The sequence below is a fragment of the Homo sapiens genome, chromosome 22 (assembly GCF_000001405.40).
Source record: "Homo sapiens chromosome 22, GRCh38.p14 Primary Assembly".
In the NCBI taxonomy this organism is placed as follows: Eukaryota; Metazoa; Chordata; class Mammalia; order Primates; family Hominidae; genus Homo; species Homo sapiens.
Genome location: NC_000022.11, coordinates 37041603 through 37064305, shown reverse-complemented (window position 1 = coordinate 37064305; position 22703 = coordinate 37041603). Strand labels below are relative to the sequence as shown.

Sequence of the window (22703 nt, the reverse complement as noted above, 5' to 3'; positions counted from 1 at the left end):
CTGAAGAGGGGTTTTTCCAACATGGGCGCTGCTGCCAGGTCTGTGGGTGAATGAGGCAGAAGGGGAACCAGGGACGGGGAGCACCCACCTGGGTCCTGCCAGGACGAGCCGGAGCAGCTGGGTGGGCAGGGAGCGTCTCCAGAGCAGGTGGGCAGAACACATGCAGAATACCTTGGGTGATCTGGAATCACCCTGGGCCCTACCTCAGTCTTCATCGGAATCCTGGAGGGCGGGGGACGTGTCATCTGTTCTCCTAACAAGCCTCCTGGTGACTCTTTTGCAAGGATAGTTGGACCCTAAAAATGAGTCCAGCTTTGGAGTGGAGTGTCCTCAGGGGAAGTGGCGAGGCCCTCCAGGCTTGAGCTGGCAAGAGGGTGCCCCCGCCCCAGCCTGTGGAAGGCCTGCGCCTTAGGGGCTCACTGCCCGGCAGGATTTCCTCGAGCAGCGGGGAGGACTGAGGAGTTGAAGGAACTGGCCAGGGTGGGTGGAGGGTCTGGGGTCTGGGCTGGGTCCAGCAGGGTCAGAGAAGGGAGAGGGCGGGGTGTTTATATTTCCTAGGATTTTGGGCAGAGGGGTGGCAGCAATAGGGAGGGATGGCGGTGGCCCAGGTGTCAGAGTAGAAGTGGAGGGGGCGCGCTGAGAGGTTTAGGATGTGGCAGAGGCAGCCCAGGGCTCTCCCTAGAGTTCTGTTTTCTGGCTCCCGGCCAGGTAGGGCAGGTGCTCTGGTATCCGGCCCCAGGGCAAAGGATATAGCCAGTTCCCCAAGCCCTCCCTGCAACACACACAGGAAAATGACAACAGGGCAGCGTCCCTGGGCTTTTGGGACAAAGCCGCGTTCCTTTGGACCAGACTACCACACCTTTAGTTTAGCCCCGTCCCCAAAAGTGGCCCAGAGAAAGAGGGCAACAGCCAGGCTGGGCTGTTCCTTTGGGTTTTATTACATGGTGGGGTCGGACACAGCTGAGAAGCAAGGACCCATCCCGGGAAGTCAAACACAGGAGGGCCCCTGGCTCAGCCGCCATACCCACTCTCCCCGGGCAGTTCCTGAGTCCTCCACCGCCCCTGCCCAGCCCCTTCTGCTGCCTCTCCCCGCCCCCCAGGCCAGGCGCTGGGCCAGCAATGCAAATGGCTGGGGGTGGGATCACCAAAGAGAAGGCCAAGCCAACTACCCCTACTCTGCCAGGCCAGCTCCCCACAACCTGCATCCCCAATACCTGAATCTCCATTTGCAAACACAGTGTTATGCCCAGGGGTCGGGCTGGGTCCTTCCCATCCCAGGGCAGCTGAAGGTGGGCGGCCCCTATATACTGCCTGAGGGCCTTCAGGGACTTTGCTCCTCTGTGCACCCTCACAACAACCCTGTGAGGTAGGTGGGGTGGGAGGAGTGACCCCCTGGACTAAGGCTCAAGGAGGCAATGTGACCGGGCCAGGAAGGAGCACATCCACCATGCAGCAGGGGAGCCCGGGAGAGGGGACGCAGGTGCCGGAGAGACACAGCCAGACATTGCCACACATCTGCCATGAGCAGTCCACTCTGCCCAGAGGTCCTGGGGCCCACCTTGGGCCTTAAGAGGTCCCAGGGGGGCCCCGCCCCGCCCCTGGAGGCAGGAGTAAGTCACAGCCCCACGGGTGCAGACAGAGGAGGCCGGGGAGAGGGTGCTTCTTCCTTCTCAGGCCCGGGGCCCACCCCATGGTACAAAAATAAAGGATTTCAGATGGGAACCCCAAGTCCCTGGAGGTGATCTGGGGCCTCACATCCGGGTGCCTCTGGCTTGTAACAGCTAGAAAAAAAAGAGGGGAAGGGCAGGAGGATGGGAGGGGCGGAGGTGGGGCCGGTAAGGAGGGGGTGATGCAGGGCAAGGGGGCGGAGAGGAGATTGACGGGTGGGGGAGAGGGAGAGAGAGAGAGGCAGTTGAGTCACAGGCTTCCTTCTGGAGGAGGGGGTGGGGCTGAGGCCCAAAGAAGGTGGATTCAGAACTGAGTTGGGGGGAGCAGCAAGGGCTCCCCAACTAACCCATCCAGGAGCCCCATGCCCCGTCTTGGGCTCGGTGGCGGCCACCTACAGAGGCCAGATTCTGCCAAGACTCTGAAGGGGGTGGGATGGGGGTTGCTCAGGGCTGGGAGAGGCACTGATGCCCCAGGCGAAAGAAGCCACAGGGAGCAGCTGTCTGTCCCAATTTTAGAGGCAATTGTGGCCCAGAGAGGGACAGTGACTTGCCCAAGGTCACAGAGCAGGCAGAAAAGAGTGGGATAGGGGGCTTGTGGGCACATGGCCAGGGCTTTTTCTGCCACTCTGCAATCCTTAAGCCACTCTGGCTGACACTTCATGGGCCAAGGGTATCCAAAAGTGGCCTGTCCTCCCCATCCCCACAGAAATAGGGGATGCCACAAGGCAGTGACACAGGAGCTCCTGGATGTGCAGGGACTTGGCCAGGGCCTCTGGCTTCAGCGGTCCCTCCCTCCCCACCAGCCTGGCTCTGGTGCTGATGGGCTGGTAGGAAAGTTCCCACTCCCTAACTTTCTTCTCCTCTCAGAGCCTCACCCCCAAGGCCAAGGTCGGATGAGAAACTTTGGTGGGTGGAGATAATCAGCCGAAAGCTCGGCTCAAGTCCAAGGATCAAGAGATGAGCACCCTCCTCGCTCCACCCCTCCCTCCAGCACCGCCAAGCTACAAACCAGGGATGGCAGCTCTGGGGGCGGGCGAGGGGCCGAGGAGAAGCCCTCACTGCAAGCTCAGCCTCAGGTCTGAGAGGGTGCGGACGGGAACCTGCAAGGAGGAAACGTGAGGAGGAGGCCGGGAGGAGAGGAGGGGGGGCAGGGCCTGCAGCCAGGGCCCAGTCTCAGAGGTGCCCGGCAGGGTTAGTGGGCACAGAGGAGGTGCAGCTGCGCCCCTCCTCCCCAGGCTGGGAGGCAGGAGGTACCAGAAGGGGCGCAGGAGGCGGCAGGCAGGACGCTCTGGGATGCAGGGCCAGGGGGCCTGGGTGGAGGGCACGGGAGGCTGGGACCAGGGCAGACCCGGGATGGAGGCGTGAGCAGGCAGAGAGAAAACCCGGACAGGGGCAGAGAGGGAAGAGGCAGGGTGCAGATGAGATCCAGGAGGAAGAAGAGGTGGATGAAGATGAGGCAGGACCTCCAGCGGGAAGCGGAGGAGGAGGCAGTGGTGGGAGGGAGAAAAGGTTAGCGGGATCCTGAGATGACTGGGCTGCAAAGAGAAAGTGAGAGAAGGGATGGTTATGCGGGTGAGGCGCCAGGCAAGTGGCTGAGCTAACCCTGGTGCCCCCCCAGCAGCCCCGGGGCCCCCGGTTCTGCAGCTGGCTCCAGCAAGGAGTGGGCGGGAGGCTCCGGCTTTGCTTAGCAATCATCCTCCTGGGGGTTGGCTGCACCTTTCTCCTGTGCATCTGCCTCCACCTGCACCTGTTCCACCTCCACCTCCTCCACCTCCTCCTCCTGCTGCTGCTGCTCCTCCAGCTGCTCCTCCGTGCTCTGTGAACCAGCCGGCGGACCCAGGGAAGAAAGAGTGGAGACACTAACAGAGGGGCCAGGGCCTGCTGGCTATCCCCAAAGACCCGGTCTCAGGCAAGGTGAAAGGGACCTCAGGAGAGGGGAGGGCTCCAGCCACAGAAGCTGGGGGCATCTTCTCCGGTCCCCTGGGCAGCTTGGGGAGGGCCTGGGGAAAGCAGCTGAGGATGGGATGCTGTGGGCATGCTCCGGGGTCAGCCTGGCTGCTGTTACATAGAGCGAGGCTGGAGGGAGGGGATGAAGCAGAACAGGGAGGGTGTGGGACTGGGGTATCCCTGAGGGGTGCCTGGGAAGGCCTTGTTTGGAAAGACTGCTCCTCAGTAGAAATGTGGCCAAGGAAGCCCCAGGGCAGACACCACCCAGATCTGGGATGCCAGCCAGTCTCTGACACCCCAGGTCCAGGGGCTTTGGCCCAAAGAGGCAGAAGGAGCAGTCTCGCTCTGCACCCTTGCAGGGCAGCGTCAGCCCTGGCAGTGGTGGGGGTGGGTGGGCAGGCAGGGTGCGTCACAGCAGGACAGGGAGGCAGACAGATAGACAGGAAGCCAGAGGTAAGCCTCCACTGTGTGGGGTTGGGCCCCAGGAGGAGCAGCCTGCCTTCTTCCCAGCCTGGTTCACGCCTGCTCTGTGGCTCTGCGAAGGCCCTTGGGACTTCCCACAGCACTGGGTCCAGGATGGCAGGACCCCCGCTCAGCCCTCTCCCCACAGTGGTACAGTGGATGCTGCCAGGGTGCTCTCAGGAGGCTGCCTCAACAGGCCAGGCGGACACACAGGACTGGCAGCCACCAGGCTGCCCCTATCCTGCAGAGCAGCCAAGGAGGGGGCCTGGGAAAGGGGCAGGATTTACAGCGGTGGCTTCCTCATCCTGGCTCAGGCCAGCTGGGGACATGCACCTGTCCCTGGGGAATAAACGGCCATTTGGGATCCCAGAAGTTCCAGGCTCCAAGGCACTACAAAGAGTATGTGATCCTCCCCTCTCACTTCAGAGAGTGCAGCAAAGGTGCTGGGAGAGGACAAGCCCTGTCCTAAGTCACACAGAGAGTGCCACACTGTGCCCTGACCCCTAGTCCATGCCACAGTGCCCAGTGGCCACTAAGCGGCCCCCTTCATGTAGCCTCTGAGTCCACGCCGGCTGCACCCTGGGGATGCTCTCATTTCACTGCTCCCAGCCTGGGCCTGGGTAACGGCAGGTGGCATGGGATGGATGGCGGTGGCTGTGAGCATGGGGTTGTGCATGGGCGGTGGCGGGAGAGAGGTGGAGGGATGGTGCAGGCGCAGGGGCGGGACAGGCGGGGAGGGTGGAGGGAGACAGGAGACTTCTCCGGACACAGGCTGAGGCGGGTGGGCTCACCTTGGTTTTGCGGCTGGACTCTGAGCTCAGCCCGTTTGGGGTGCTGTGGAGCTCCTTGGACACCACACACAGGAACTCTGCCTGGTCCTCGCTGCCGTAGTTGTAGGAGGAGCCGATGTTCACCAGCTAGAGGGGCGGAGCATGGGGAGAAAAATGCAGGTTGGTGTTGGGGGCCGTGGGGCAGGATACGACAGACCTCGGCACTCAAATCAAGATACCAGCTCAGGTCCTAATCTTGCGGCTTGTCGGGCCCACTCCTGGGTTTGTAGAGGGCACCTCTGGGCAGGAAGGTGGAGTCTTCCCCCTTGCAACCTGTGCCTGTGGTCTGTGCCCCAGGACCAGCCCCTCCGCCTGGCTTGGCTGGCCCGATCCCTGGTGGAGGGTGGCAGCATTACCGCTGTCCCCACCACCACCTCCAGCCTAGCCCCAGAGCCAGGGGGCCCTTTTCTAAATGCAGGCGGAGGCCTCTAAAGGGCGGCTGTCCCCCATTCCAGATGTGGCTGACACAGCCCCAGGACAAGGTTGCAGGGTGGCATTGGCAAGGTGGAGCCCCACAGAATATTCCCTTCACTCCTGGAAGCAGAGGTGGGACGACAGGTGGTCCACTCCTGAGACCAAAGGGCAAATGACCAATGGTCCCTGGCCTGCTTGCTCAGCCTCTGAGAGCCTGTGCAATTGCCAAAGACACCCAGAGGCTCTCAGAGTGGCCCTGCCCTTGTTCCAGGGTCCCTAGAATAACCACGCCCACAGAGCCCTTCTGGCTAAGAAATAAGAAAGTTCTTCCAGGTGATGAGTCTCATTCAGCTCTCAGGGACCCTGAAGAGAATCTCAGGCCTGCTGAAGGCCTCACAGCTAGGAAGGGGTGGAGCAGGGAATGGCATCGGGGATCCCAAGTCCTCTCTGAGTGTTGCAGACTTCAATATGGATTTCTAATGATTTGCATGACACTAATGCCAACATAGGGAGTCCTACGGAGGGCTGTAAGCTTTACTGATGGCCCTTCTAATCTCACAAGAGTCCTACAGAGGAGGTACTGTTAGCCCACTTCACCGATGAGGGAACTGGGTCCCGCACAGGAGATGTAACTTGCCCAAGGTGGCAGGCATGTCTGTGGCAAGGCCTAGAGGTGAAGCCAGGCCTCTGGCTCTGCACTAGGCCCATTCTTCCATCCCTCCAGGCCATCCTGGGGGCTCCGACCTTCTGCCTTGCAGTCTCCATGTGCCAGGGAACGTGTGGGTGGGCGTGGAGAAAGGCTAGCCAACCCCCTCTCCTTCTCTAAAGGCACTTTTGACCCTGGGCTCACTTTCTGGCTCTGCTCCTCTGGAAACCTGAAAGGTGGGAGGTCAGCTGCATGACTAGGGATAAAGTCCCTCGGGATAAGGATCTCCCGATGGGTAAACTGCATCTGGACTGGGAGGAACCACCGTTCACCATAAAGACCTCATGGGAAGGCACTGCTTTGGGCTCCCCTGCATGTTGCAATGCTGGCCACTGGGCATGTCCCCTGCGGAGACCCTGAAAACTGTGTCAGGAACTGCTATGATCGCATGATGCTGACTCTGAGTTCTAAGAGGTACTGACTCAATGTGGACTCCACTCACCTATGTGGATCTGGTCTCCTTGCACCTGAGCTGTCCTTCGGGGGCCACAGACTCACTCATGCCACCAGATAGATCACCACCCAGTTGCTGTGAGGACTCCCACCAACAAGGACACCCCGTGCTGTCCTATGGCCACTGGGGCTCCTATCCTCTCTCTCGGTCAACCTGCCACCAAGTGTGGTCTCTCCTAACCTTGTTTAATTTGATTTCAGAAGAACCCTGGGGTTGGGGGAGACTGTGGTGGGGAACCCAAGGCTGGGGCTGCAGGAAGGGAGGGGCCTGCTTGGTCAGAGGCTAGGAGGTCCCAGGGTTGTCCTGGTGGCACGCCCCTGTCCCCAGCGCACCTGCTCGAAGCGCCAGCCATCAGACATGGTGGAGACCATTTGCGTGAGCTCCTCCTCCTGGCACTGCAGCACGCGGTACACGTGCTTGGGTGGGACCTGTGGGCAGAAGGGTCACATAGAGGGCACCTGTGGGAGCACCAGGCACCCCAGGAGGGGCATGAGCACCTGCTGCCACCACCCCCGCAACATACCCAAAGAAGAAGAGAGGGAGAGAAAGAAGAGGTGGTTGGGGGGAGGCAGCCATGCTCTGAGCACCTGCTCCTCACCAGGCATTTACCAGGCACCATCTCACTTAATCCTTCCAAGAATCCTAGGCATTACGGGACTTTCCATTGAGGCTCAGAGAGGTCCAGTTACTTGCCCAAGGTCACCCAGCTCAAGGGTGAAGGAGACAGAACCGGAACACGGGTAATTCAAGAAAGAACATGGGTGGGGCTTAGGGAACATTCTGGGTCACCCTCAAGGAGTCAGGCCCTCAAGGAGACACGGAGCCTCCCCTCTTTAATCCCCTGGGCCTGAGAAATGGTTCCTCACTACCTGTCCCCCAACCCTCACACATCCCCCAGAGTAGGCGGAAAATCTCTTTCCCTCCTCCTGCAGACTGGCCAGGGAGGCCCAGGCTCCAAGGTCACAAACGCCAGCCCCAACAGCCTGTGCCGAGCCCACCAGGCGACCATCTGATGCCACAAAAGGCACAATTTGCTAATCCTGCATTTTCCTCTGCAGGGCACCCTGTACCTCCACACTGACCCCCTTCTGCCTATGAGGAAGGGATGGGTGTGCCATTCCCACCCCTCTCTATCCCATAAGAGAAAATCAAGGTCCGGAGAGGGCGAGCCTGGCCCAACACACAGCAAATGGGGCTGAGACAGGGACTGAACCCCAGTGTCCGTCTCCGAGTCTGGGGCTGTGCTGGGCAGCCTGTCAGCCCAACCATGCCTCTCCTTACAGGCCAGCTCGGCCTCCCCATGACAAACACTGGTCCTGTCTCTCCCAACCTCCTCTGCTTCCCGCCCCGTCTCTCAGCCTCTCTCTCCCCACTGGCCCCTGCCCTGGCCGTGTGTGCTGCCCCTGCTCCCGACCTGGGTGACCGTGTAGTCCTTCTCTTCCATCCGGTCTTTGATGATGCGGATCAGCGGGCCGATGTTGTAGAACTCGGCTTCCTCCAGGACCCCTGGCACAGACAGAACAGATCCCAGGTCACTCCTTCTGCCTCCATGCCCCATTCTCCTCTTGTTCCCTCCACCCCGAAACCCACCTCTCGCTCTGATCACCCGCCCTGAGGGTGAGCTGAGTGTCTGTGAGTTCAGGGGTCAAGTAAGAGGGAGCATTTCTTTCCTTGGATCCCACACTTCCTGTGGAAGGGGCTGAGGGGCTGCCACACAGCTCTGCTGTGCTGAGTGCGGTGACCCAGGGGTACCTGCCAGGCCACCGTCTGGGGCAGCTTTAGGGCTATCAAGAGACAGCAGGGTCATTGGGACTGATCCCCAGAATGTCACCATGAGCAGGGCCTTGCCTGACCCCTGATTATGTGCTCCTATTTATTAAGCACATTCTAAGTGCCAGGTGCATTACATTTTTGAATTCTCAGAACTAGAAGGAGGTACTTTCATCATCTGCATTGAACAACTGGGAAAACTGAGGCTCCCAAAGAGAAGCAGCTTGTCCAAGGTCACACAGCTGGTAAGTGCCAGAGGGAACTCAAGCGCTGCAGACTCCAGAGCCCATGTCTCCCCACTGTAAGCACATACCCTTGTGTCCATGCATTCCCCCAACTGCCTCACCTTACAGTTTGCAACACCCTGCACGAGCTCATCACAAGTCCAGGGATATGAGGAGAGCAGGCATTACTGTCCCCATCTTACAGTTAAGTTAATCTGGGAGATGAAGAAGTCAGCCCACCAGTGAAGCGATGAGCTTGCAGCTGTTTCGACTCCCCTAGGCTCCCAGAAGGCAGGGGACCTTTGGGCCCTTTCCTTGACTGGCCTCTGGGCTCCCTGGGGACAGAGCTCATTATGAGCAGAATGTGTGTGTTCCCCAAAAATCCACCTGCTGAAAACTGTGATGGGATTAGGAGGGGAGGTAATGAGATCATGGGGGTAGAGTCCCCAGGGTAGGATCAGTCTTCTTATAAGAAAGGCTAATTGGATGTGAGGGCGATCTGGCGGGGACATCTGTCACTCCACTGATCACCAGGGTTGATTTAGCTGATCTGGCTGGCTAGATGTGTGTCCCCTTCCTCCCTCACTGCTCCAGGTGTGTCCCTCCCGAAGCTGTGAGCTCCATCGAAGGGGGCGACCACCCCCGATAGAGGAGGACCGGACTTTGGTCAAGGGTATGTGAGTAGCTGCGCTCCCCTGCTAGAACCTCCAAACAAGCTCTCGAGAAGGGGCGGGCGAGGGCTAGCTCCCTCTCTTTCTGCCATGTGAGGACACAACGAGAAGTCAGCAGTCTGCAATCCGGAAGAAAGTCCTCACCAGAACCTGCCACAGTGCCCCGATCTCGGGTTTCTAGCCTCTAGGACCAAGAGAAATAAATTTCTGATTTTCATAAGCCACCCAATCTATGTTACTTCATGATTGCAGCCTGAAATGGCTAAGATGGGGCTCACATTTCTGATCTGCCCTCTGTCCCCGGTGCCCACACAGGACCAAACACAGAGCAGGAGGTCAGGGAGTGCAGCTGCCTGATTACGAGAATTATCCCCAGTGCCCTGGGCGGAGCCCTGCAGGTGACAGACAGCTAGCACTGCATCCCACATCCTCCGGCCAGGAACTGAGCTCCATGCTGCACTATTAACTCCTTTTATCCTCATGACAGCTCGGTGAGGTGGGTGCTATGGTCCCCCATTTCACAGATGGGGGCATGCAGACACAGAGGGGTTAGGTCACTTTCTCAGTGTCACACAGCTAGTAAGTCTCCTCTCAGATCCCCTATCCCCTGGATGAGCCCTAGCCCTGTGTATCCCCTAGCCCCCGGATAGCCCTGCGTGATCCCCTAGCCCCCGGATAGCCCTGTGTGATCCCCTAGCCTCCGGATAGCCCTGTGTGATCTCCTAGCCCCCAGATAGCCCTGTGTGATCCCCTAGCCCCCAGATAACCCTGTCTGATCCTCTAGCCCCCAGACAGCGCTGTCTGACGGTGTGGGAATAGCAGGGCTTTGAGAATGCAGGGCGTGTAAACAGGTGCTGGCTGCGACGCAGCTGGGGTGTTTACTTCCCTCCCGATGGGGCCTGCTCCTGAGCCTAGGCCACGCCCATGGTATCTGTGCTCCCCTAGGGATTAACAGGCAAGCTGTGGGGCTCTGCAGGGCCAGGCACCTACAGTGGACTCTGGTGTTGTGGCCCTGACCTATTAGAGAGTTGCTGGGCCTCCAGACCACTGTGTCCCATAGGGCTCAGGGAGGGCAGACCATGGCCCAGAGCAGGAAGGCACGCACAGGTGCAGGATTTATGACATCTCCCTCCAGAAGGCAGATCACCGCCCCCATTGAATAGATACCAGTGGAGACGCAGTGAGGAGAAGTGACATATTCAAGCTGGTCTGGCTGGATCAGCTGACCCAGAGCCACACCCTGTGTCCCAAAGAAGAGTTAACTTGGCACTGACTGTAGTCCTTGCCCCTGGCTGCAGCTCTGCTAACAGGTCGTTCTCCCAGACATGGCCTCCCCACTGTTTGTTAGGCCCGGATATGGGCATATCCAGGGCCTCGGCCACCTAGGCCTGGGGATAACCAAAGCCCCACTGGGAAGCAGACTCCCCCCTCTCCTGCCTCCACCCACAGCCAGCACTGTGCCGCACAGGCTGCCAGACTTAGTGAACAGTCACCCGCTCCACCCACTTACAAGCCCTCACCAGGCAGAATTTGAGATACTGGATCAGCCAGAGAAAGAGAGACAGAGCTCTCCCCATGCCTGTCAACACTGCATTCCTGTCACCCCAGCCTCCGGATGTGACCGTCCACACCTGGCTTCCTAGGAGGCCAGAGAGAAAGGGCGTCACAGCCCACAGCAGAGGCCACAGGGCCTCGCTGACTTCCTCTATCCCCTGCACATGTGTCTCTTCACCTCCCTGACAGTACCCAGGGAAAGCTTGAGCCCGTCCGCTTGGCAGAGCCCCAGGCTCGGCACAGGCAGATGCTTGGGAATCAGCCCCGTCCGACTGGGAAGAGGCAGGAAACAACCAAGCAGGCAGATGGCCGTCCTGGTTGTCCAAATGGCTTGGGGCCTCCACAGAGGGCCCTGGCAGGCTGCATAAGGTCCAGGCCAGCCCCCTGGACCAACTCACCCTCCTCAGCCATGTCCTTGTCCAGCACCAGCTTGCCATGCCGGAGGAAGTTCAGGATGGGCCCGAAGTAGGTGGGGTCACGGTCAATGAGGTAGGCCCCGGTCTCATCCTATGGAGGTGAGGGATGCTCGGTGAGAGAAGAGTGAGGCTTCTCCCCAGCCAACCCCGCACACGCACAGGGAGGGAAGGAGAGTGGAGGGAGAGCTCTTCCCTGGATGGAGCAGGCACAAAGTAGCAAAAAGGCACTGGGGTCAGATGGACCTGAGTTCAAGCCCTGCTTCTGACTCTTCCTGAATGTGTGACCTTAGGCTAATGATTTGGCCTCTTTGAAACTCACTCCTCTCCCCCTAATCAGGGTTTGCTGTGAGCATCCGGTGAGAGGATGTCTGAGTGGCAACTGGCCCAGCACAGGGCTCGAAGAATGTCCCTCTGAGAGGCTGTCCCCTGAAGCCAGCCCCACTGTCGCCCCCAGGTCCCTAGGCTTTCAGGGGATGTTTACAAGTTTCCAAAGGAGTCACTATCTCACTGGACACTCGGGCGGGCAGGGAGGCAGGGTGGGCTTCCATGCGACTCTACAGAGAGATCGGAGACATTGAGAGGTGAGGCGACTTGCCAAAGGCCACAGCATCGGAGGGTCACGGATGGGGGACAGGAGACCTTAGAGGTCATCTTCAGACCAGCCCTTCGTGTTACAGATGAGGAAGGAGGCTGAGCGCAGTGCAGGGAAGGGTCCGACTCAAGGTCGCGGCAGGCAGTGTGCAGCAGAGTCAGGGTGGGTGCTCAGAAATAGTGCCCGCTGGGCCAACGCTCCTTCTAGATTCAGCCCGCTCAGAAGGCGCCCCAGGGCTCCTCCATCCAGCTAGCTCCCTGCACCCCTCCGCCACCCACATCCCAAAGAGCGGGAGAAGTAGCCTCGTCGACTCCTTCCCCAGAGCAGGAGTCCCCTTTGGGAGGGAGGAAAGGTCCCAGGTCTCTCCCTGTCCACAGCCCCAAAGGAGAAGGAGAGGCCCCGATCCGGGGCGGCTGGAGAGCTTCTAATGGCCGCGGCCTGCGTCGTCCCGTTGCCACGGCAATGGGTACATCCCTCACTACCAGACCCACCTCCCCCTCCCCTCCTCCTGCCGCTTCTTCCCGCCTCCAGTTCCTCGGAAATGAACCCGGCCGGGTCCCCAGCCTGGCGGGCGAGCCAGGCCCGACAGCCCCGCGTCGGGCGAGCGGAGGACCCACCGCCCGCTCGCCGCCCACCCCGGGGGCCTCACCCGGTCCGACTGCAGCTCTTCCCCCTGGCACAGGCGGCTGAGGAAGGACTTCTGCTCGCGGCACAGCGTCTGCCGGGTGGTCAGGAACACCGTGCCCCCCACGTTGAGCCGCACCCACTTGCCCCAGCCGCCTGCGGCGCGGCCGCCCGCCCCCGCCGGCGGCGCTGCCTCCCCGGCCTCCATCCTCATCGCCGGCCGCGGCGTCTGCATCCTCCTCCCGGGCGCTGGGGGCGGGCGGGGACCGCACGCGGGGCAGGCCGGGAGCTGTAGTCCGCGCCTCCTGGCTCCGCGTGGGCCGCGGGTAGGGTCCCGCCCCGCGCTGCTCCCGCCCCCGGTCCCGCCCCGCTTCGCCCTTCCCCGCAGGCCCGCAGTCTGGGGTGGTGAAGATGCCCTCTGGCCAAATCACTGTGTATGGGGAAGGTCGAACTCCCGGCCTCTGGGAAAAGAATGAGGGCTTCCCCAAATCTGCAGTCATCCCATGGGTCCGAGCATTCTTGTTTTTCCTTTGTGCCGTCTCCGTCGTCCAACAGCTGATAAGGGAAGAAACTTTCCCCTCCAGGAATCCCCATAGCATTGACCCGCATGTGTTTCGTCATATTTTTTCATTTGCCCTTTGTGTGTATAGGGGTGGGGGCGGGGTGGGTGGGAGTGGGTTCTTTCCCTCACCTGAGTTCTTGGAGAACGACATAGCTGGACTTGAGGTTGGCTGAGCACCTGTATGCCAGACACTTTGTGTATATGTGTTATGAATTTAAGCTCTCAGCAGCCCTGTGAGTCTGGTATTTTGGGCTATACCCATTTTACAGATGAAGCCACAGAAGCGAAGTGACCGCCCTACTCACATTGCTGGTGAGTGAGTACCCACCAAGGTCTCTTTCCTGCTCCCTGACCATGGAATGTCAGGGATCCTTGGGAAAGACTTCTAAGGAGGAAGAGTAGAGCACGCCCTGGATCCGAGTCAGGAGAACTGAGTTTCCATTCTGGCTTTTGGCCTTTCTCAGTTTTTCCACGTCCTCCCTAAGAAGGAGGAGGGATTGGTTCTGCGGGTGGCTTTCTGAGTTATTCCCCAGTTAACTCGGAGGGGAACCGTCATTCTGTGGACCTCAGGATGGGGGAAGGGAGCAGTTCCTCATGTGGTCCGGGACCAGGGAGGGACAAGGGCTGACGAGGAAGCTGTCTCCTTAGCTTCCTCTCCTTACTGGTTTCAGTCCTGGTCCTGGCCTATGGGGGAGAGGTCTGGGGCTCCTCTCACTGATCCAATGTCACACGCAGCTGGCCCGAACACTGGGCAGCCTGGCCCTGTGCTGGGAGAAGTTTCCCTGTTACCACCCAATGCCCTGCTTTCTGCATAAAGCTTTTCTCCTTGGCAGGGAGTGGATCAAAGGTGTACTGGAATCCTGCTACTTAAAATTCACTAGGTGTGTCCTGAGCAACTTCCTCTCTGAGATTGGCTTTCTCTCTTGCCAAATGGGATTTACAACAGTTGTGACCCCAGAGCATTGCTGTGAAGATTAAGTTATGAAATGTCTATAAACATCTAGCGTAGGCTGGGTGCGGTGGCTCACACCTGTAATCCCAGCACTTTGGGAGGCCAAGGCTCGCTTGAGCATAGAAGTTCAAGACCAGCCTGGACAGCATAGTGAGACCCCTATCTCTCTCTCTCTCTCTCTCTCTCTCTCTCTCTCTCTCTTTTTCTTTTTTGAGATACAGTCTCACTCTCTCACCCAGACTGGAGTGCAGTGGCACCATCTCAGCTCACTGCAACCTCTGCCTTCTGGGTTCAAGCAATTCTCATGCCTCAGCCTCCTGAGTAGCTGGGATGACAGGCATGCACCACCACGCCTGGCTAATTTTTGTATTTTTAGTAGAGATAGGGTTTCACCACGTTGGCCAGGCTGGTTTTGAACTCCTGAGCTCAAGTGATCCTCCTACTTTGGCCTCCCAAAGTGCTGGGATTACAGGTGCGAGCCACTGCGCCTGGCCCCCATCTCTATTTTAAAAAAATAAAACGATAGAAAACCAAAAAACAGCCGGTGGCTCACGCCTGTAATCCTAGCATTTTGGGAGGCCGAGGCAGGCAGATCACAAGGTCAGGAGTTCGAGACCAGCCTGGCCAACATGGTGAAACCCCTTCTCTACTAAAAATACAAAAATTAGCCGGGCATGGTGGCTCACGCCTGTAGTTCCAGCTACTCAGGAAGCTAAGGCAGGAGAATCACTTGAACCCGGGAGGTAGAGGTTGCAGTGAGCCAAGATCATGCCATTGCACTCCAACCTGGGTGACAGAGTGAGACTCCGTCAAAGAAAGAGAGAGAGAGAGGAAAGGAAGGAGGGAGGGAGGGAAAGAAAGAGGGAGGGAAGGAGGAAGGAAGGAAGGAAGGAAGGGAGGGAGGAAAGAAAGAAAACAAAAAAAAACACCTAGCACAGTCCCTGGCATTTACTATGTTGAATGCATGAATGGGTGAATGAGATGGGATGTGAAGTGGCCTTGAAAGACTGGCAGGACTGCTGGCACTTAGTGAGGCCTTGACCATTGTCAGCTAAAGCAAAACTAGAGCAGGAGATACTTATTCTTTCACGCAAGGGTGGCAGGCAGGGGAGTGACACGGTCAGATTTGCAATGTGGATCACCCTTAGGTTGCTGGGAGGGTGGTTTGAAGCACCAGTTAGAAGAGAGACCAGTTAGAAGACCACCTACATCTGGGTCAAGAGTAGGGGGAGCCCAGGCCAGGCACAGTTACTCACACCTGTAATCTCAGCACTTTCGGAGGCCAAGGAGGACGGATCACCTGAGGTCAGAAGTTCGAGACCAGCCTGGCCAACATGATGAAACCCTGTCTCTACCAAAAATATAAAAAATAAGCCAGGTGTGGTGGCGCACACCTGTAATCCCAGCTACTTGGGAGGCTGAGGCAGGAGAATTGCTGGAACCCGGGAGGCAGAGGTTGCGGTGAGCTGAGATTGCGGCATTGCACTCCAGCCTGGGCAACAAGAGCAAAACTCCGTCTTAACAACAACAACAACAAAGTGTCAGAGAAAAGGGCCCAGGGAGGGTCTTGGGAGGTGGGGAGAGGGGAGGGTGGGGTGAGAGGGGAAAGAAGAAAGAGCAAAGCTGTATGGGGAAGAATGAGGGCATTCCAGAGGCCAGCTGTGGGCCAGTTGGAATGAAACAAGGAGTTCACCTGAGGAGAAGTTGGGAAGGTGTCAGATGCAGTGGCTCACGCCTGTAATCCCAGCACTTTGGGAGGCCGAGGTGGGAGGATCTCTTGAGCCTAGGAGTTCAAGACCACCCTGGACAACATAGCAAGACCCCCGTCTCTACAGAAAATTTAAAAAAATTAGCCAGGCTTGGTGGCATGTGCCTGTAGTCCTAGCTACTGGGAAGACTGGGGTGGGAGGATACCTTGAGTCCAGGAGATCGAGGCTGCAGTGAGCCATGATCGCACCACTGCACTTCAGCCTGCGTGACAGAGTGAAACCCTGTCTCAAAAAAAAAAAAAAAAAAAAAAAAAGTCAGGAAGGTGAGGAACAGCTCCCATGCTTCCTGGGCCAGCTGCTGCCCACCTAGGGTTGCCTCTCTGTACTGAGGCGTGTGGATGCTACAGCAGGACTTGGACAGCACCGAGTCTTTCAGCAAAGGAGGAGTGTCATCAGTGTGGCATTTGGGGAATCTTAACCTAGCGTTGGTGCCAAGATAGATAGTTGGGGTGGGGGACAGCCCAGGGGCAGGGAGGGAGAAAGGGGGAGGGAAGGGTAAGAGCCAACATTTACATTGTGGGGGACCTACCCAGAGACCACCCCCACTTCCAGTAGCACCATTTTCTGGTCTGTTTCCCTCACTCTACAGTGTGAGCTCCCTGAGGACAGGCCCTGTCCCCACTCTGCCATATTGCAGGTGTCAAACACTGGGCCTGACTTTGGGAGGGGGATGAATGGAACAGAAACCCAAATACACTGGGAATATCTTTAGGGCAGAGATGGAGTCTTCTTCCTTCATGCTGTATTTCCGTGTTATTTTATTTTTTTCTATTTATTTATTTATTTAGAGACCGAGTCTCACTCTGTCAACCAGGCTGGAGTGCAGTGGTGCGATCTCAGCTCACTGCAACCTCCGCCTCCTGGGTTCAAGCGATTCTCCTGCCTCAGCCTCACGGGTAGCTGGGATTACAGATGTGCAACACCACACTTGGCTAATTTTTTTTTTTTTTTATTTTTAGTACAGATGGGGCTTCACCCTGTTGGCCAGGCTGGTCTCAAACTCCTGACCTCAGGTGATCCACCTGCCTCGGCCTCCCAAAGTGTTGGGATTACATGCATGAGCCACTGCGCCCGGCCTACTTTTTTCTTGAGACAGAGTCTTGCTCTGTCACCCAAGGTTCAAGAAATTCTCCTGCCTCAGCCTCCTGAGCAGCTGAGACTACAGGCACCCACCACCATGCCTGGCTAATTCATATATTTGTATTTTTTAGTAGAGATTGGGTTTCACCATATTGGCCAGGCTGGTTTGTAACTCCTGACCTCAAGTGATCCGCCAACCTTGGCCTCCCAAAGTACTGGAATTACAGATGTGAACACCTGGCCCCATATTATTTTATTTCACTGCTTCATGCTTCCCATGTGCCAGACACTGTCCTAAGTGCAACGCCACACGTACCATGTGTATCCAACGAAGACAAGTTTACCATCTGCTATGTGCCACAGACCGTGTCCCAGGCATCCTGTGACAGCAGGATCAGCAGCTGTCATTTATTGAGGGTTTGTTCTGGACCAAGTAGCGCCCATGTGTTTTTCCTGTAATCCTCACAGCAAGCCAATGAGATCCATCTTGTTCCCACCCCCATCTTACAGAGGGTGAGGTCATGGCTCAGAGACCAGAGGTCCCTACTAGGTCGTGCTGGAAATGGCTACTGAGAACTGCGCTGGCCTCAGAGCCTGGTCTTGCTGGATCTGAAGTCACAGCTGATAACCATTCTGCTCTCCAGCCTCCCATGGAACCCCACAGCACCCTTGCGGCAGGTGCTCTTGACAGCACATTACAGATGAGAAAACTGCAGTCCCACAGCTGGTCCAACACAGGCCTGTCTGAGCCTGGGGCAGGGCTGGTCTCCGCCGTCCCACAGGCACTGCCCTTTTAGATACAGCCCTGGAGTGCCAGGTGGGGACTTGGCCAGCACCTTTGGTCCCAAAATGGAGGGAAAGGCTTTGTCTGGGCCAGTCTCACTCCCCGTCCTTTCCACAGAGACCCCAACCTATCCCTGGACACAGCGCTCTGCTCAGCAAGCTCCTAAAATGCTCCCATCTGAAGCCACAACCTCACTGGCGAGGGCCACAGCCAACAGCCAGGTGGCAAGACCTGGGACCCTTAAATAGAGCCGACAGATGCCACCATATCCCTGCCCGTGCCTGGGCTTTGTCCGGATGAAGCCATGTTTGGGTTGGGAAAAGGTGCACCCACCTCTGAAAAGGATGCTTGGCCCCTCCCCACAACCGGCCTGGCATTCAGGCCATCGCTGGGCTTGCTGGGTACCCACTATATAAACCAGACATTGAAACACAGAGGTGAAGCTGCCAGAGGTGGCCTCTGCCCTAGGGAAGGCTTTGGTTTGGGGTAGGTGGGTTTGGGAGGCTTGGACAAAATATGGAATTCCGTATCAGCAGTCATGGACTGTCACTCTGCATAGATTGTTGCATGTCTTCCTCATTCAGAGGATAATGATAAAACTCCAGACATTCCTTAGCTGCTTTTCAGGGTGATGGTTAAACTGGAGGAGGGCCAGATTTCAAATGCCTGCTGGTTACACCGCCCCCTGATGTCTTCTTCTGGGAAGAGCAGCCTCAAGTATTTTTTTTTTCCTTTCGTTCTTTTATTCCCCCTCCAACCACAAGACCACTAGGGATCAGGTGCTTTGGTGCTTTTTATTTTTATTTTTTATTATCATTTTTTAAAGATGGGGTCTCGCTATGTTGGCCAGATTGGTCTTGAACTCCTGACCTCAAGCGATCATCCCACCTCAGCCTCCCAAAGTGCGGGGATTACGGGCATGAGCCACCACGCACGTCCCATTCAGTGCTTTTTAATATGGCTCTGGACTCCACTTGAAAGTGAAATAGAACAGAGATATGGTTAAGGGGTACAGGCCCCCAGACAAGGATGCTAGCCAAGGCTTCGTGGTTTATCAGTTGGGTAACTTTTCAAAGTCATTTAACCTCTCTGAACCTCAGTTTCCCCATTTCTAAATTAAGAACAGTAATAGTGCTTACCTCTTGCAGCTGTTGTGAGGATTTAAAGAGCTAGCAGGTGGAGGGCACTCGCCAGGCCACCTGTGTGAAGACCAGGGAACGCTGGCTTTGGTGAAGCCAGTCCTGCCACCCTGTCTATCATTGCCTGGACCCAAGATCAGTGCCTGATGCAAAGGCTGCCCCTTAAACATCCATTTCTCTTTGGTCAGGGAAGAACCAAGCCCACCAACTCCCCCTTCCTGGGGTTGGAGGGAAAGGTAGAGAGAAAGGCCACCCTAGATGACCCCAGCTCCAGAGCAGGCTGGCTGTCATTTCCTCATGTCACCCCCCCCACCCCTCTGTGACCTAGAATGGCCCAGGAGTTTTTTTTTTTTTTTCTGCTCCAGATAGAGCTGAAAGAACACAAGATACATCCTGAAGTTCTCACCTGAGCGCATCACTGAGTCCTGTTTTGAACCTTCTCAGCTTAGCAGCAGTCTCTGCCTCACTTCTGAGTGGCCTGTTTCACAGCTCCTGTCAGTTCCATGACTAAGACGTCATTCATCCCTGCTGGGTTTTTGGTTTCAGTTCTCTTCCCCAGATTGAGCACATCAGAACATTCTGATCAGCCATTTTCTGTTCTTTATGTCAAATCCAATCCTATCACTGCCTGGGGCCAATTCTGTTACTTATCCTTGATGTGGGGGTGTTTGGTTTTGAGCCTCTGCACCTTTTCAGGTCACTTGAGGAGAGAAACGGGCATATCCGATCAGAGAGAGTGTTTCCTGACCAGCCAGAGCTATGGGTACATGAGATCAGGCTTCCAGAGGCCCACGGCCCAGGGTTTGAATCTCTACTCCGGGTTGGGACCCTGACTCATGACACCTTGTTAGTTAGTTATGCAACCTCTTCAAACCGTTTGCAATATTTACATTGTAATGTAATTCATGCTTATTAGTGCTATTGCACACAGTGAATATTAGCCATTATCACCGAGCATCTATTATGTGTTAGGTCCTGGGCTGGAAGCATCATTCTCAGAGAGGCTAGATATGGGTCCATAGACCTGAATATTTGACAACCCTTTCATGATATGACGGTGACCCTGGAGTCTGCAGACATTACAGGCCCTCTCTGTGAGCTCTTCCAGGGGAGAGTCCCTGTCTCCTTCGTTTCTGAAAGTCTAAAGCTCAGCACTTGTGACAGGTTTGGAAATGTCTGGCCCCAGCCTCTCCTCCAGCTCCTTCTACCCTCCACCCCGTCTCTGTTTCCTCCCTGGTGGGAGTGGGGATGCGGGTAGAAGGAAGGGCAGGAATGTCTGGAGGAAAGGGTGCCTTCTCTAATTTGCACAAAGATGCAGTGGGGGCGGCAGTGATGCTGGCCCCTTGGGTCCCTGCTGGACCACCTGGGCCCCGGGCTCGGCTCCCTTCAGCCAGCAGGGTGGGGCTCAGCGCGCTCCCAGCCTGACCTGACTGGGCGGGAGAGTGGCTGGAGACTCCTCTTCACCAGCAGGGGGTGCGCCTGCCTGCTGAGGTCCTTGGGGAGTGTCTTGGACAGCAGCCCCAGAGCACCTGCCTGCCTATGTGTCTGCTACTGCTGATTCCTTTTGCAGAAGCTCAGCTCTTGGGACTGAGGCCATGGCAGCCGGCCTCTCACCAGCCTCCCCTCCCCAGGACTCCCCTCTCCTGCCTCAACGTCTGCTTGGCTCCAATGCATGTAATTCCACAGCTTGATGGCACAGAACCAGGGACCTACCGTCTGTCCCCCTGGGCCCCGTGGACTCTGCCCCTGCTGCCAGAGGGACGTTTATGAGTACTTCCGTGTGCCAGGGACTGCACCAAGCACTTTTGTGGATGATCTCTTTTAATCGTAACCCAACAGGGAGATGTGGCCGTGATCTCACTTTACAGAGGAGGAGCCCAAGGAGTGCTCTGTGCTGCTCTGGCCCCAGCCTGTCCTCCAGCTCCTTCTACCCTTTGATCCCCCCTCTGTTTCCTCCCTCGAGGGAGTGGGGATGCAGGTAGAAGGAAGGGCAGGAAAGGTTTTCCTTGCCTGGCGTCCTTTGTTCTCTGGTGTGGCTTTGCTGTGGCCGGAGCAGATGTTTCAAGCTGGCTCCTTGTTTTCTGGCAGGTTGTTTTGAGGGTTCTTTGGTGCCCCCATTGCTGGGAGTAGCTCCTACTACAGGTCTCTTCCTGGGCAGTGTCTTCTCTGGTTCGCCCCTTGGGATGCTCCCCAAGGATCAGCTTCCTGGGTTCCACCGTCCACCCACTCCCCAACCCCGCTTCCAGCCTCTGTGCACTCATGCACCAACTCCCCATCTGGACAGCTCCAAGCCATCTCCTTTCGGCCAGCTCTCAGCTGGGCCCAGAAAAGCCTGCAGGCAGGCCCCACCCTGACAAGACTCACAGCACATGTGCCTCCTGACCCCAGCAAGGAGCAGCTGGCAGGATGCAGGCTTTTCCAGGCAAGGGCCCACCCAGCCTCTGAGACCCCCAGAATCCAGGACACATGGGTGAAGCTCCGCAGATGGCCTCCTTGAAGCCCTCTCACTCAGCCTGTGGAGAGGGGAGGCACCCCATGCACCTCCTCCATGGGACAGCACCCCAACATCTGCCACCAGAGAAAGCATCCTCTACCTTCCTGCTGCTCCTGGTGGCAGCTCTCCTATCTCTGCCGGGGGCAGGAGAGGTGTGGGTCAGGGGGTGGTCGTAGGGTTCTACGACTAGCTCTTAACCACTTCAGTAGCAAGAAATGCTTTCGAGAGTCCAGCACCTCACCTTGTTTTAGAATGTGGGGTCAGCCAGGCGCAGTGGCTCATGCCTGTAATCCCAGCACTATGGGAGGCTGAGGTGGGCGGATCACTTGAGATCAGGAGTTGGAGACCAGCCTGGCCAATATGGTGAAACCCTGTCTCTACTAAAAATACAAAAAGTAGCCAGGCCTGGTGGCGCCTGTAATCCCAGCACGAGAATTGCTTTAACCCGGGAGGTGGAGGTTGCAGTGACTGAGATCGGGCCACTGCACTCCAGCCTGGGCAACAGAGAGAGACTCCATCTCAAAAAAAAAAAAAAGAAAGTGGGGTCAGTGAGCAGCCCTAGCTGAAACTAAATCAGAAAAAACTGCATTGAAATAACAACAAAACATTTCGCTTTGAAAATAATTTTAGGCTTAGAGAAAAGTTGCAAACATTATAGTAAAAAATCCCGTAGAGCCTTTACCAGACGCACCAAGTGTTCACACAGTCTTTCCTTTGTTCTCTCCCCACCTTCTTTGTTACTTTTCTGAACTGTTTTTGAAAGTAAACTACAGGCTGGGCATGGTGGCTCATGCCTGTAATCCCAGGACTTTGGGAGGCTGAGGCCGACGGATCACTTGAGGTCAGGACTTCGAGACCAGCCTGGCCCGCATGATAAAACCCCATTTCTACTAAACATACAAAAATTAGCCGAGCGTGGTGGCACATGCCTGTAATCCCAGCTACTCAGGAGGCTGAGGCAGGAGAATTGTTTGAACCCGGGAGGTGGAGGTTGCAGTGAGCCAAGATTGCACCACTGTACTCCAGCCTGGGCGACAGAGCGAGACTCCATCTCAAAAAAAATAAAAATTAAAAATAAATAAATATGAAAGTAAACTGCAAAATTAATGACTTTTCATTCCTAAACTCTTCAGCATGATTTCTGAAAAACAAGGACATTCTCTCCATAACCACAGGACAATGGTCAAAGTCGGGAAATTAATACTGTTACATACCATAGCTTATCTACAGATTTCTTCCAGTCTCCATTTGTCCCACTAATGTCCTTTATAGAAAAAGAAAGGAAAAAACTTTGCTAAAAGCCTCTGGGAGCCCATCTAGGACAATTGCATTCCCTTGTCATTTCTCTTTAGTTCTCCTTTGATCTGGGACAGTTTCTCTTGCTTTCATTTTTGGAGTATAGGTGATTTTTTTTTTTTTTTAGTAGAATTACCCTCAGTGTGGGTTTGCCTGATATTTCCTCATGATTGGATTCAGCGTATGCATTTTTGGCAGGACTCTCATAGAAATGAGGTTGTGTTCTTGCCAGTGCATCAGGTCTTGAAGGAATCTGATGTCCATGACTCCCATTACTGGTGAGATCAGGGCTGATC

General features: G+C 56.5%; 1 protein-coding gene and 1 pseudogene across 14 annotated transcripts, besides 9 other annotated features; one reads left to right on the top strand and one right to left on the bottom strand.

The window, feature by feature from the left end:
* Positions 218–1041: an enhancer, noted in NCBI's record as "H3K4me1 hESC enhancer chr22:37459305-37460128 (GRCh37/hg19 assembly coordinates)". NCBI's record gives its function as "activates a minimal SCP1, AML or CMV promoter by ChIP-STARR-seq in primed H9 embryonic stem cells {active_cell/tissue: H9 hESC(primed)}" and the evidence as "EXISTENCE:reporter gene assay evidence [ECO:0000049][PMID:30033119]".
* On the bottom strand, positions 916–12564 carry KCTD17 (potassium channel tetramerization domain containing 17). Of its 14 annotated transcripts, NM_001282684.2 has the most exons (9): positions 12357–12564; positions 11098–11206; positions 7895–7986; positions 6813–6908; positions 4868–4993; positions 3384–3483; positions 3131–3202; positions 2677–2767; positions 916–1781 (listed from the first exon to the last, which is right to left on the bottom strand). In NM_001282684.2, exons 1-9 carry the CDS (start codon positions 12543–12545, stop codon positions 1712–1714), a joined length of 945 nt encoding a protein of 314 aa, NP_001269613.2. In that variant the 5' UTR covers positions 12546–12564; the 3' UTR covers positions 916–1711. The 14 variants fall into 14 exon arrangements, 13 of the variants coding, with proteins under 13 accessions (NP_001269613.2, NP_078957.3, XP_005261801.2 ...); XR_937917.3 differs by lacking the exon at positions 3384–3483 and having other exon boundaries at positions 2922–3202; NM_024681.4 differs by lacking the exon at positions 3131–3202.
* Positions 1894–2751: an enhancer, noted in NCBI's record as "H3K4me1 hESC enhancer chr22:37457595-37458452 (GRCh37/hg19 assembly coordinates)". NCBI's record gives its function as "activates a minimal SCP1, AML or CMV promoter by ChIP-STARR-seq in primed H9 embryonic stem cells {active_cell/tissue: H9 hESC(primed)}" and the evidence as "EXISTENCE:reporter gene assay evidence [ECO:0000049][PMID:30033119]".
* Positions 2752–3609: an enhancer, noted in NCBI's record as "H3K4me1 hESC enhancer chr22:37456737-37457594 (GRCh37/hg19 assembly coordinates)". NCBI's record gives its function as "activates a minimal SCP1, AML or CMV promoter by ChIP-STARR-seq in primed H9 embryonic stem cells {active_cell/tissue: H9 hESC(primed)}" and the evidence as "EXISTENCE:reporter gene assay evidence [ECO:0000049][PMID:30033119]".
* Positions 8959–9198, top strand: RN7SKP214 (RN7SK pseudogene 214; annotated as a pseudogene).
* Positions 10962–11678: an enhancer, noted in NCBI's record as "H3K4me1 hESC enhancer chr22:37448668-37449384 (GRCh37/hg19 assembly coordinates)". NCBI's record gives its function as "activates a minimal SCP1, AML or CMV promoter by ChIP-STARR-seq in naive H9 embryonic stem cells {active_cell/tissue: H9 hESC(naive)}" and the evidence as "EXISTENCE:reporter gene assay evidence [ECO:0000049][PMID:30033119]".
* Positions 11679–12396: an enhancer, noted in NCBI's record as "H3K4me1 hESC enhancer chr22:37447950-37448667 (GRCh37/hg19 assembly coordinates)". NCBI's record gives its function as "activates a minimal SCP1, AML or CMV promoter by ChIP-STARR-seq in naive H9 embryonic stem cells {active_cell/tissue: H9 hESC(naive)}" and the evidence as "EXISTENCE:reporter gene assay evidence [ECO:0000049][PMID:30033119]".
* Positions 11679–12452: a biological region, named in NCBI's record as "H3K4me1 hESC enhancer GRCh37_chr22:37447950-37448667".
* Positions 12333–12452: a silencer, noted in NCBI's record as "silent region_13678". NCBI's record gives its function as "represses an Ori minimal core promoter by ATAC-STARR-seq in GM12878 lymphoblastoid cells {active_cell/tissue: GM12878}" and the evidence as "EXISTENCE:reporter gene assay evidence [ECO:0000049][PMID:35858748]".
* Positions 12463–12772: a silencer, noted in NCBI's record as "silent region_13677". NCBI's record gives its function as "represses an Ori minimal core promoter by ATAC-STARR-seq in GM12878 lymphoblastoid cells {active_cell/tissue: GM12878}" and the evidence as "EXISTENCE:reporter gene assay evidence [ECO:0000049][PMID:35858748]".
* Positions 19668–20581: an enhancer, noted in NCBI's record as "H3K4me1 hESC enhancer chr22:37439765-37440678 (GRCh37/hg19 assembly coordinates)". NCBI's record gives its function as "activates a minimal SCP1, AML or CMV promoter by ChIP-STARR-seq in naive H9 embryonic stem cells {active_cell/tissue: H9 hESC(naive)}" and the evidence as "EXISTENCE:reporter gene assay evidence [ECO:0000049][PMID:30033119]".